Source organism: Homo sapiens, chromosome 11 (assembly GCF_000001405.40).
Source record: "Homo sapiens chromosome 11, GRCh38.p14 Primary Assembly".
Lineage (NCBI taxonomy): Eukaryota > Metazoa > Chordata > Mammalia > Primates > Hominidae > Homo > Homo sapiens.
The window spans coordinates 22775411-22788577 of record NC_000011.10 but is presented as its reverse complement, the minus strand read 5'-3'; the positions used below and the strand labels follow the sequence as shown (position 1 = coordinate 22788577).

The following is a 13167-nucleotide window of genomic DNA, read 5'->3' as shown; positions in this document are numbered from 1 at the left end:
CTATAGTGTGCTTTTTCTATCAGTGGTTCTCAACCCATGAGACATTTGACAATTTCTGCAGACCTTTTTGGTTCTCACAAGTAGGGGCAGGGATACAAGTGCTTACACTGGCATCTAATGGGTAAAGGCCAGCAACCCAGTGAAATCTCCTACAATACACAGGATAGCCCCAGGCCCCAAACAAGGAATCATCTCATTCAAAATATCAAGAGCCTGAGTTTGAAAAATCCTATTCTATATCATATGATTGTTCATATGAAGAAGTCAAATCATACTGAAACTTTTCCTGTCAAAGGAAGAAAAACATATTTTCTTCATATTCTAAATCTCAGTGATAATTTCTTGTTTCTCATGTCTCTTGGCCTCTCCTTTTGGTGTCACTTTTACTACCATGAGCTTAATTAACATGCAAGACTCACAATATAACATTTTACTATAACATAATAACAGTGCAAATAGAGCAGACGTAGTGCTACATTCCTTTTACTTGCAGAGCAGCATATCTTGCTTAAATACAAACTTAAGGAAACGCACACCATTTCATGTTGCAGAGGCACTCCGACACCTTTCAAAAAGATGAGCTACATGACAAGCAAGAAGCCAATAAACCATTCCACTTAAGCCAGCAGCTATTCAAAATTACATACTTTAAAAAGAAATGCGAACCAATAAACTAACACAAACATATCTCAACCATATTTAAGATCTCTTTCAAAAGAACTAACAAGATACCAAGCTGTTTTCCAACCCTGAATACCTGACATTGAAAGAAACTCCTAGCAAAATAGTAGTTATTGAATCTAAGCACTAGGTGGCAGCAGCACATTAAATGCGTGGGTTTGTCCCCGAATAAAAATGCAGTGCTGCATTGTTTAAATTCTATCAGAACTAAAGAAGCAAACGTGTTTTTCCCCCAACGCTTCTCACCAGTGACTCCAATGTATTTTACTGGGCTAAAAACTATTTAGCTGATCTTTTTTCTTTTTCTTTTTTCTTTTTTTTTCGGAATAAATCTACTTGTCACTCCAGCACATATGTTTCTCTGTGTGAAAGTAACAAATATTTAATGTGTATGTGTGTATGTATACACACATACACACAACAATTATGTATACATAACTATGTATATGTACATGCACTGCATATATCGCATATAATTGTATGTTATGCACATTAAATTGATAATAAATACTGAATAATAGGAACAACATTACTTTCTACTGAGCACTTTATCTCATTTAATGCTTCTAGTAACCTTATGAAGAAAAATATTTGCTTTCTCCCTTTGCAGTTTAATTGCCAAGGATCAGAGAGATTGAGCAACCTGTCCAGGGTCACACAGCATAAATAGCTACAGAGCCTGGATTTACGTCATACATTTCAGAAAACTCCAAGTCTGGGAGCTTTTTGAGAGCAGGAATCTTGTTTCATTAGTATCTATTCTCTCTCACCAAATATAGACAAATGCTCAAAAATGTATTATATCAGTTTTAAGAACAATTGTGTATTTTCATGGTGGTGAAGAAAAAGAATTCATGTGGGGAAATGAAAGTGATTATTGGGATGCATGTTAAGATGTGGATTATCAGGCCTCACTTCAGACAAATGAAATCAGAATTTCTTATGGAGGTAGTTTTCTAGAAGTTATCCATGTGATTCTAATATGCATTGTTCAGAATCTATAGGGTAGTGACTATGAGAATGAGATTTTAAGAAGTAGTAGAAGCCTTTCTCACTTCTTTCTGAAAAGTCCTCAAAAATAAAACTGAAAATACCTAACAGTGTGATATTTAGCACTGAAGGAGATACAAGTTTGCACTCACCAACACTGACAATGTCCTACCCATTTGCATCTACTTTTGTGGTCAATTTTGTAACTTCATTGTCAGAGACAGGTATCTATTTTTGTCTATTTCCACACAAGGCCAACATTCATAGAAGTAAACGGTAGATACAATTACAATCATTTCTGTACTACATTGCCGATTATCTTCTAGAAATTCAGCAAATTGTTCAAGACACGTCTTGAGATATGACTTATTACTAATACTATCCTATATTACTATTACTGAAAACCAGTCCTTGCATAGTGGACAGTGATAAGTTCTTTCTGCATGAATAAGTGGATAAACGCTTATCTATCCATACATAAGTAGATTAATGGACATAGGAGGACTTGTTAGGTAATGAGATATGCAGCTGATCTTATTGGTTAATCTTCAAAAACCCACTTCAAGACATTCTCAGTAATTTTTACCAGTATTTCTATCTGGCCAATTGTTTTCAAAAATAATAAAGATTGATGGTGACAGCTCGGATGAAGTTCATTTTCACAATTTTTTTTTATCCAACTCATGTAAATGTAAATCTATTTTCAAAAATAAAAGCCTGGTAAGCTTTGTGATTGTTTTAACAGAACTAAGGGACATAATTAAGAACATTTTAAGCTATTCTGAGGTGGATACCGCAGAAGCAGAATCTGTTTGTGGACAGATAGAACAATAAAAGGGTAGTTCTCTGCTTGGTTTGCTTTGGATTTTAACCAAAACTCCCCTTAGAAAACTAAGTCCTTTAGAAGGATTTATCCAAGAAGTATGCCTTGAATTTATTATATCCTTTCATGTTCAGAAACTGTTTCAGATAACTACATATTACTCACAGTCCATAGCATCATGAAGGTAATTTCTGAATGTGCCAATATGTTGACATCTTCCAGAATTATAATGCCAGTTCCCCGAAAAAAGTACAGCTATCTATGTTTACAGTTTTTGTCCTATACTCCCTTATAGACTTATAATCCTGAAGAGAGCGACAAGGAAGAGGACACTAGAAAACAATCTTTTCAACGAAAGTAGCATATATCTAGGACTTTGAATGGCAAGCAGCTTAGAGCAAAAAACCAAGTGCTGAAGATATAGTTTAAAAAAAAGGTAGAAACATGCTTAGCAAAGAGTCCCCCACAAAACTTGTAATCTGCATAAATTGTCAAGGCACAGCTGTGGAGGTGACAAGGGCATTTCCTGATTCCCAAGACATCAGCAAAGTCCTTTAATCAACACATACATTATTCTGTTCTGTATGTAATATTGTTCTTGAATATTAAGCAGCCAGTGATTCAGTACCATCTGGCACTTCCTGGTTAAGCACAGCTCTGATACAGTAAGAATGTGTCAAGAGTCCAGGAAAGCAGTTTCCAATGAGGACAATGCAACAGAGTGAATCAGACAGGCTAGGTAGGAGTGGGAGAAAAGACACACTCTTCCTTCACCCAGGATGAATGGAAAAAAGAGGAGGTGGTAGGGCATCAAATGCTTTGTGCCACTGACCTTCTTTTTCCATGCGGACTATAAAGATGCACTTTCTGAGTGCTATGGGGGGATTTTTGTTTTTGTTTTTTATCCCTCAGTAATGATGCAAAGTGTGGGAGAGTACATCGGGCTTAGATGACAAAACATCCACGACTCACACAGACCAAGCAAGCTGTTCTTGGCATTCAGAATCTCTACATTTGGAATATGTCTAGTGTGATGGAGGAACACTGGAATTTTTGCTATCCCTTTTCCTCTTTTTGTCCTCTAAGACTGAAGGTGTCCTTGCAATTTAACCACAGGATTGCCTGTGTCAGGTTTACTGGAACCTTCTGTAGCCATGCCAGAAGACGCAAAGTGGTCTTCAAATGAATCTAAACCATGACCTCAGATCTTATAGTTAAAAGCAACAATGAGTTGGGGAAACCAGGTAGAAAGAGAGACAGGAGAAATGTCTCAGAAATGAAAGTGAATGCCTCTACATAGGAATAGAAGAGGGAAGATACACAGAGGATTTAGGCTACTTATGAGAACATATTTGTAGGACTGGGTTTGATTCTGAGGCTCATATTGGAGGAACGACATAGTCATCTTGGAGCATATACAATAAATGTGCATAGGATGGTAAAAAACCTATGAAACCTTGCTTGTGGGGAAAGGCTGAGTGAGCAGCTACCATTTACATTGTGAGCAATGACTATTATATGCCAGGCTCTTAACGTATAATCACCTGGAAGGCAGTTATTTCTATATCCATTCTACAGATAATGAAATTTAGAGTCACAGAAGATTCATGCCTTGCCAACCAATACTATGTGTAGCAGACCTGGGGAGGTTGGTATATGGTAAGGAATATGAACTATCTGACCTAGAAAGTACCTTGAACTTTAGTTAACTTTACTAGTAACTTACTATCATCAATCCAAAGCTTTCCTTCTCATAGTTGAAGACACAGAACCCTTAAATGATATCATTACTTTCCCAAGATAGTTTATAACAGAAAATACAAACACAGAATCAGTTGAGTCTTGACTTCATTCAGCACTGCTTCCCATTTACAGATTCAACACTATTCCTATCAAACTACCAATCATTTTTCACACACATAGAAAAAGCTGAAATTCATATGAAACCAAAATGAGTCCAAATAGCCAAAGCAATCCTAAGCAAAAAGAACAATGCCAGAGGAACCATATTACCCAACTTCAAACTATACTACAAGGCTACAGTAACCAAAACAGCATGGTCCTGGTACAGAAACAGAACTATAGACCAATGGAACAGAACAGAGAACACAGAAATAAAGCCACACACGCACAATCAACTGATCTTTGACAAACTTGCCAAAAGTAAGCAATGGGGAAAAGACGCTAATTCAATAAACGCTGCTTGGATGGCTGGCTAAGCATACACAGAAGAACGAAACTGGACTCCTTCCTTACACATATACAAAAAAACACCCAAGGTGGATTAAAGACTTAAATATGTCTCAAACTGTAAAAATCCTACAAGAAAACCTAGGAAATATCCTTCTTGACATGGGGATTGGAGTAAAAACTCACAAATGGCAAAGGAAGAATTTCCCCTCCTCCCAAAGGGGTGCTAACTCAAAAAAAGTAAGTAAGTGGGATCCTTAAAGGGCCAGAGTGAGGCCCTATGCAGTTGTACAAACTACTTCAAAAGTCACTGGAAAACTTGGCCTGGGGAGTGGGGTAACAGGAACGAAAAGCATATGGCAAGTCATAAGGAGCCTTTGCAAAGAAATTATGGCTAAGTCCTCAAGAGCATTGCAATAAAAGCGAAAATTGATAAGTGGAACCAAATTAAACTAAAGAGCTTCTACGAAAGAAGAGAAACTATCAAGGAAGTAAACAGACATGCTACAGAATGGGAGAAAACATTCACAAGTTATGCCTCTGATAAAAGTGTGATATCCAGAATCTATAAAGAACTTAAAGAATTCAACAGGCAAAAAACAAATAGCCCCATTAAAAAGTGAACAAAAGACATGAATAGACACCTCTCAAAAGAAGACAAACAATGGCTAACAAACATGAAAAAATGCTCATCATCACTAATCATCAGAGAAATACAAATCAAAGCCACAATGAGATGCTATCTTGTACCAGTCAGAATGGCTTTGTTATGTCAAAAAGAAAAGGACGTTGGCAAGCCTGCAGAGAAAAGGGGACATTTACACACTGTTGGTGAGGTATGTAAATTAGTCCAGCCTCTGTAAAGACCAGTTTGGAGATTTCTCAATGAACTAAGAATTGAACCACTATTTGACCCAGCAATCCCAAGACTGGGTATGTACCTAAAGGAAAATAAATCATTCTACCAAAGGAACACATGCATGTGTATGTTCATTGCAGCACTATTCACAAGAGCAAAGACGTGGAATCAACCTAGGTGGCCATCAGTTGTAGATTGGATAAAGAAAATATGGTACATATATACCATGGTACGTAGACACTATACGGCCAAAAAAAAAAAAAAAAAAGAACAAAATCACATTATTATTATTATTTTTTTTTTTTTTGCAGCAACATGGATGCAGCTGGAGGCCATTACCCTAACCTAACTAACACAGGAATAGAAAACAACGTACTGTATTTTCTCACTTATAAGGGAGAGCTAAATTCTGGGTACATGTGGACATAAAGATGAGAACAATAGACACTGGGGACTACTAGAGGGGAAAAGGATGTGGGGGCAAGAGCTGAAAAACTCCCTGTTGGATACTATGCTTACTACCTGGATGATGGGTTCAAGTCATACCCCAACCTCAGCACTGGGCAATATAGCTTTGTAACAAACCTACACATATACTCTCTGATTCTAAAATAAAAGTTGAAAAAGAAAGAAAAAACACAGTACTTTCCAATTGGTTCACAACTAAGGAACCCCTTAACTTTATTTTTCTTTTAAACTTCTGGTTTCGAAAGAAAAATAATGATAATGATGCTACTACTGCTTCTGTTGCTGATGATAACTCTCCATCATTAAGAGGCTGTCCTCTCTAGCTCTCACAACAAATCTGTCTAATTAATACTATTAATCCCCTTTATATAGATGAGGGAATTCATTCCCACAATAGTTGCATAACTTACTCAAAGTGACAAAACAGTCAGTACCAGGGTTCCATCTTACAATTCCTTCCAATATTTGCATTATTTTTCACACACACAGTGCTGAAAGACTTTATCAGCAAATGTTATTCATTAGTAAATAACTTGGTCCCCATTTTAACTAATAAAAAACATATACATGAAATGCAGACCATCAACTGATTAGTATAAAGAAACAATTTTTATATTAATTTGGCCGAAAGCATGGTATCTGGTGAGTCCATGCAACATAGCCATTGGTAAAGGTTCAAGTTCCATTGTCTTTCTAAAACACTGAAATTAGCCTATGAATCCCAATTTTTATAAGCACAAGACCCAGGGATCTAGACAGTCCTAGAGGGGAACTGCTTTGTTACATTACAGTATCATAAAAAACAATTCCAAAAAATATAATATTTTTTGGACCTTATAATGTGTTACACCGAGTACCATAATAAACCTCAGGGAGTTTACCCACATTATCTTTAGCTCCAAACACAGACTAACAATTATGATTTTCTTTCAATCAAGGTTCCCAGTGAAAATCTATAAGTTGTTAAAGAGGTTACTAATCTCTTCCTATAGAAAGAAAGGCACCATAACCATGCAAGAGATCATGAGCACTGAACTTGTTTCTCTCAGAGAGAAAAATTACAAAAGAGAAATGATAGATGGTGCTTGCTAGAAATTTTAATTAAACCTGTGAATGAAAAGTCTGAATCAGGCTGAGTGGCAGCTGCACTCATACATGACCTGCTTCAGTAGCAGAGGCGGGAACATGTCAGGAAATAGATATTCTGTGAGAAAAGCCATAATACCCTTGAGTTTCATTTAATCTAACTCTCCACGTGGCCTAGTTCTGAAGGGCCTTCTAGGAGACCCCCCATCCCCACCTCAGTGAATAGCTCAGAATACAAAGAAATCTCCTCTTGGTTGCTAAGTGACCATAGAGTGTGGACCACAGGATGTCTGTAGTGTGTGTGGGCTGTCCCTTGTTTGCCAAAGGACAGCAGACTCTGCCACTCTGCAACTTCCGGTTTTGCTGCAGTAATTAAGCAAATTGTCTGCCTCTACTCTGATCTGCTTTTTTTCTCAGGTTCTCACCTCTTAATCTATCTAGTCTGGGGGGATGTTATGAGGTCAAATGCCCTAATTCAGAATGCTTTGCTTTGTAAATGGTCAAGATGCTGTGATTATCTTTTTAAAATTTATGAACCACATTTACTTTATCATACTTTTTGAAATTTACAGACATAGAAGGCTGATTGAATTTAATCCTGAATCTAGGATTAAGCTGTTTCCAAATCAATACATTTCATCAGAAAAACATTCTATTCCTTATAAAAGCCATCTTTTTCTCCATTTTTTTGCCTGAGACACAGAACCACCTTGGACCATATGTGTCTGAGACCTACCACCAGTGATGGCAAAGTATTGAGCTGGAGTAACTGAGTCTGTGGGGACTTCAAGGAGCAGAGTCATCAAACCACTCTGGAATTTTATGATGAAGAAGCAATCTTTTACCTTCTTTAAGTAACTACTGCTTGATTGGTTTCTGCTACTAATAGAAAAATCTTACAATCTTTTTTTTTTTTTTTTTTTGAGACAGAGTCTTGCTCTGTTGCCCAGAAAGAGAGACAGTGGTAGGTCTCAGACACATATGGTCCAAGGTGGTTCTGCTCTGTTGCCCAGGCTGGAGTGCAGTGGCACGATTTCGGCTCACTGCAGCCTCTGCCTCCCAGGTTCAAGCAATTCTCCTGCCTCTGGCTTCTGAGTAGCTGGGACTACAAGTGCATGCCGCCACGTCTGGCTGATTTTTGTATTTTTAGTAGAGACGGGGTTTCTCCATGTTGGCCAGGATGGTCTCGATCTCCTGACCTCGTGATCCACCTGCCTCAGCCTTCCAAAGTGCTTGGATTACAGGCATGAGCCACGTCCAGCCCTCATAGCTAATCTCAACCCTAGCTAGTGAAATTACTTTTCTATTTTTCAGAGTTCCCCAACTTCCCAAAATCCTGTATTATGTCTAAACAGTACCTGTTTGTTTTAGCTCAATTCATTTGATAAATAAATATTAAGCAACTCGTATATACTACGCAATGTACTAGAGAGTACACCACACTGGGAAGAGAGCAACAATCAACTCCGAGTCAACTCTTAAGGTCAAAAGCGTAAAGAATGGAAGAAAACACAGCAAAGATTATGACATCATGAATGTCATGAAAGAAAATTACAGGGTGCTTGGGATCAGTATCCCTTAAAAGGGAGACCTAATCTAACAGTGGCCTAATTTGGGGAGGAAGGTTGGTTGGTTGTAGGACAGGACATTGGGAGTAACCACTAAAAAAAATTAAAATGAGATGTTAGAAAATGGATAGAGAAAGGAGGTACATTCCAGAAAGAGTTACTGTAATGCTTTCTTTTTGTTTGTTTGGTTTTTTTTTTTGTTTTTTGTTTTTTGACACGGAGTTTCACTCTTTGTTGCCCAGGCTGGACTGCAGTGGCACGATCTTGGCTTACAGCAACCTCCACCTCCCAGGTTCAAGCAATTTTCCTGTCTCAGCCTCCCAAGTAGCTGGGATTACAGGTGCATGCCACCACACCTGACTAATTTTTATATTTTTAGTAGAGATGGGGTTTCACCATGTTGGCCAGACTGGTCTGGATCTCCTGACCTCAAGTGATGTGCCTGCCTTGGCCTCCCAAAGTGCTGGGATTACAGGCGTGAGCCACCACGCCCAGCTGAGGCATTGTATTTCAAAAGGCCCTTGAACAAGAAACAACACACTGTGTTGAAAGAAGGGAAGACCAATATGGCTACAGAACAAACAAGAACTCAGACATAGGTGTGGAGGTGGGCACCATCCCCACATTTTCACTCTATTCTCTATTGTCTCTCCATCATCTCCAAAACTAGGGAGATGGGCACAAAATGAGGGCGATGACTAGGACTCATGAAGAAAAAAATTCCAAGACCCATTTTTCAGAATTTTTTTGTGGGTGGAGAGATAGAATTTCAACCCACACAACAGAATCAAAGTATTCCCTGATTCTATTTTTTTTCCTTTATTTTAAACCCAAAAAAGAAAAACACTGAAGAGAAAAAAAAAAAAACAAAAAACTTAATGGGATCATTGTTTTGCCCTAGTTTATGTAAGAATGAACAGACCAAACTAAAATATGCAAGTCATCCCTTTCAACAGAACACTTCTTGTTCCCCTCTGTTTCCATTCCTTCTCATTTACAAAAATAAATAAATATATCCCCCTTCAACAGAAGCTGCCTTCTCAGAATTCTGTTTCCTACATAAAGAAATATTAATGCATTTCACAGAACAAATGCACACATACACAGTTTCAACATTCTTCATGGCACTTGGAAAAGCCTATTAACAGGATTAAATAAGGCATAGAGGACACTAGAGGGCATGTGACCCTTTTAAATCTGCTATGATTTCTACCTACAGACTGACAATTAAGTATTACATTTGTAGGTGTGCATTTCCTAAAAAATCTGCTATACTGCTCCTCAAATAAGCCAACTTTTGCACTTGCTCTTCCTGTTACCTCTAAACTGCTTTTCCCGCTCTTCGCAAGCCTGGCTCCTTCTCATCATTTACATCTCACTTCAAATATCACTTCCTTGGAGAGGCCATCTCTTCAAGCTTTACCCAAAGTAACCCCTCCTGAACCCTATTATTCTACATTGAATCAAATGTTTCCTTCTAACATTTATTAGAACTCAAAATTACCTGTATATTTGCTTACTGAGAAAGAATCTGTCTCCATCAGAAAATATACTCCTTAACAGCAGGGACCTTGTCTCATTCACCACCCTATTCCCAGGAGCTAGACAATAATTTATGGAATATCGGCTGAATGAATAATCAGCCCTCTAAAACTGAGTAGCATTATAATTCACATTATAGATGAGTCACAGAGATTTTAAATAACTTGATCAAGGTTATATAGCAAGTGGACAGCAGAATCATTTGACCTGAGAAAACTCTTTTAAGCTGGAAAGATTACTTTTCAACTAAATTTTTTTCTAGGGGAGGAGTAATTTGTTTTAAGAAATCATTATTTTCAAAATTCTAGTTTCTTCTTCGCCTCTTCCCTCTATTCCATTAATAGCCAATTAAGTCTACCCCCAAAATACCACTAACATTGTTCATCATTTTCCCATTCTCTCTACCATTTTTGTGAATGCACATAGCATATGAACAACTGAAATAGCCTCCTAATTGGCAGAATTGCCTTTGGTTTCTTTCTGCTCCACCTACAATTGTATATACAAACCTCTGCCAGATTAATTGGCTTAAACTTCAATGTACCATGCTATTGCTCAGTATCTCCAATTGCCGTGTAATGCCTTCAGGTTAAAATGCCAAAGTTTTTGGATTTATCAAGGCCCTCCAACAATTGCCCCCAACCTACCTTTCTTACATTATTCCTGCTGGAATTCTCTACATAATCTCCAATCAAACTAACTGTATTCATTGTTTGAAGAGCCCTTGAGTTCTTCCTATTCCTCTGCCATGCTTACCCTTTAAAATGGTGCTCTCAAATTAAAATCCCACATACTTCTCAGGACACTGGTGAATTTCTACCTTCTCTTTGAAAGCTTTCCAGATAAATCTATATCATATTGATCCTACTTGTCACAATTCATCAGTGTCTAGAAAAATACCCAGCTCATTATAAGTACTCAGCAAAATTTTGTTGAATGAATATGTACTCTAAATAATGCTGCTTCATGGAACTTTTCATTTTGTCTTATTTTATTTGTGTAATTAACTCTTGAGTCTTTCTTAAACTGATCGTTGAGGTCTGAAGCCATGGCTTCTATCCAGTTCCTTATATACAAGAGGTAATGCCTATTGTCTGACAGATTATTCCACATGCATCAACCAAGGGAGCCAAATGGCACAGAGTATTGTTGATAAACTTGTACTCTTTAATTTGTTGTATGGCTTAGGATTTAACAACAACTACAGTACACATAAAACAACTCGTCTTACAAATCTTAGAGAGATCACTTGAGATTCACAAGTACGCCTCTCCTTTTCCTTCAGCTAATGTTTTCCATATAGGAAGTTTTTATGCATTGTGAAAGCAAATTATCAATCTGAGCCACCTCCTGTTGGACTCCTAGCTGCACTCTCTTTTAACTTTCCTGATCCTCATAAAATGGTAATTCAATAGTTATGACATGCCAGCTACAGAAGAATGCCAAGCTGAGAGGCCAGTTTAGAAACTAACATATAACACTGTCCACACACTTCAGGTCAGCATACAAAAAACATACACTAACCAATGTTACATTTTCTCAAGGCTAAGTGAATCTCATCATTTAATAAATGCCATAGAAATTCAGAGGAAAGTATGAATTAAAGAAGGCTGGAACTTTTGAGAAAGATATTTTCTGAAACTCTCTTCAACTACAGGGCAACAATTGTTGAGTCCAGGTACATGTCAGCATGTTCTATATGGTTCCTACCTCCTATAAATGTATAATATGTAACTTAATTTTCTTAGCTTTATATAAAATTTTAACAGAAAGGTAAATAGATGATAAATAGATGATATTGACAACTTGCTCTTTAATCACTCGGACACTGATTTAACTCAATCACAAAAAACTCTTGCCCAATCACTCTGGCCGAAGCTGCCACAACTACTGCCTTCCATATTATCCTGTTCTATTTTCTTTCTTATTAGTAGATAAGATGAACTTCCTTATTTAGTGATCAATGTCAGGGGTCAGCAAACTATATGGTTTATAGAACAAATCTGGCCCATACCTATTTTTGTAAGTACAGTGTTATTGGAACACAGCCACCACGCAAATTCATTGCTAAAACAATAGAAGTGAGTAGTTGTAACAGAAACCATACACCCCACAAAGCCTAAAACAGTTATATCTGGCCCCCTTGGTCTTTATATTTATTCCTGTCTTCCCACTCCCAGAACATAAAAACCTGACTATTTTGTTCACTGCTCAATTCATGACACCAGTTCCAGGCACATAGTAGGTACTTACTCTCTGCTACTGAAAATCAACAGGCACAATACAAGGTAAATAAATTGTGTTAACGCGTACCCAAAACTCTTAACTCAGCCGTACATCTGGAATCAATGCTTTCTGGGTATATTTGTAATGAACTCATGTAAAGAAATTTGTAAATGGCCAAAGAATGCTCTGGAAGGATCTTGGCCCAAGGAACAGTTTTAATATAATGTCTTAGTCTCTATGAAAGGCTTATTGTGGGCAGAGCTCTATATTTTTTACAGTTCTTCTATGCTAAACAAGCCATGTACTAAATTACTAGGCAGACCTGGAACTGAGAATCTGAATAACATCTGGAGAATAAGAGCTTAGGGTAACAAATTTCTAAAAACTTGTTGATAGGAGCACTAGTCTGTGCTTTTTATTAATTTATTTGACTCTTGTCAATTGATATTACCCGGAGGTTTTTTTTTTAAATAACAAACAAACAAACAAAAACTCATTACAGTGGTAAAATGTTAAAAGACTATTTCCCATCATTCTCTTTTAGTTTCTGTGAGTAGCCCACAATTTTATTCTACATAAAATTCTCACCAAAGAAACCACTCATTAACAAGCAGAAATTCTGACATTTTGAAACCCGACCAATTCCTCCATGCCAGGCAGATGTATCAGAATAAGCCAAAATCAACATGTTGCTTTTCTGTTATCGTTTGCAGGACAAAGATAAACTTAACGGT

The 13167-nt window shown here is 37.3% G+C and overlaps 1 protein-coding gene across 16 annotated transcripts in view, besides 3 other annotated features; it reads right to left on the bottom strand.

Moving 5' to 3' along the window:
* Nucleotides 1-13167, bottom strand: part of GAS2 (growth arrest specific 2) — a 187054-nt gene that overhangs the window by 24478 nt on the left and 149409 nt on the right. The gene's annotated exons all lie outside the window — the stretch shown is intronic.
* Nucleotides 681-975: a silencer, noted in NCBI's record as "tiled region #5411; HepG2 Repressive non-DNase unmatched - State 13:Ctcf". NCBI's record gives its function as "represses a minimal TATA promoter and a strong SV40 promoter by Sharpr-MPRA in HepG2 cells {active_cell/tissue: HepG2}" and the evidence as "EXISTENCE:reporter gene assay evidence [ECO:0000049][PMID:27701403]".
* Nucleotides 7227-7276: an enhancer, noted in NCBI's record as "active region_4538". NCBI's record gives its function as "activates an Ori minimal core promoter by ATAC-STARR-seq in GM12878 lymphoblastoid cells {active_cell/tissue: GM12878}" and the evidence as "EXISTENCE:reporter gene assay evidence [ECO:0000049][PMID:35858748]".
* Nucleotides 7307-7356: an enhancer, noted in NCBI's record as "active region_4537". NCBI's record gives its function as "activates an Ori minimal core promoter by ATAC-STARR-seq in GM12878 lymphoblastoid cells {active_cell/tissue: GM12878}" and the evidence as "EXISTENCE:reporter gene assay evidence [ECO:0000049][PMID:35858748]".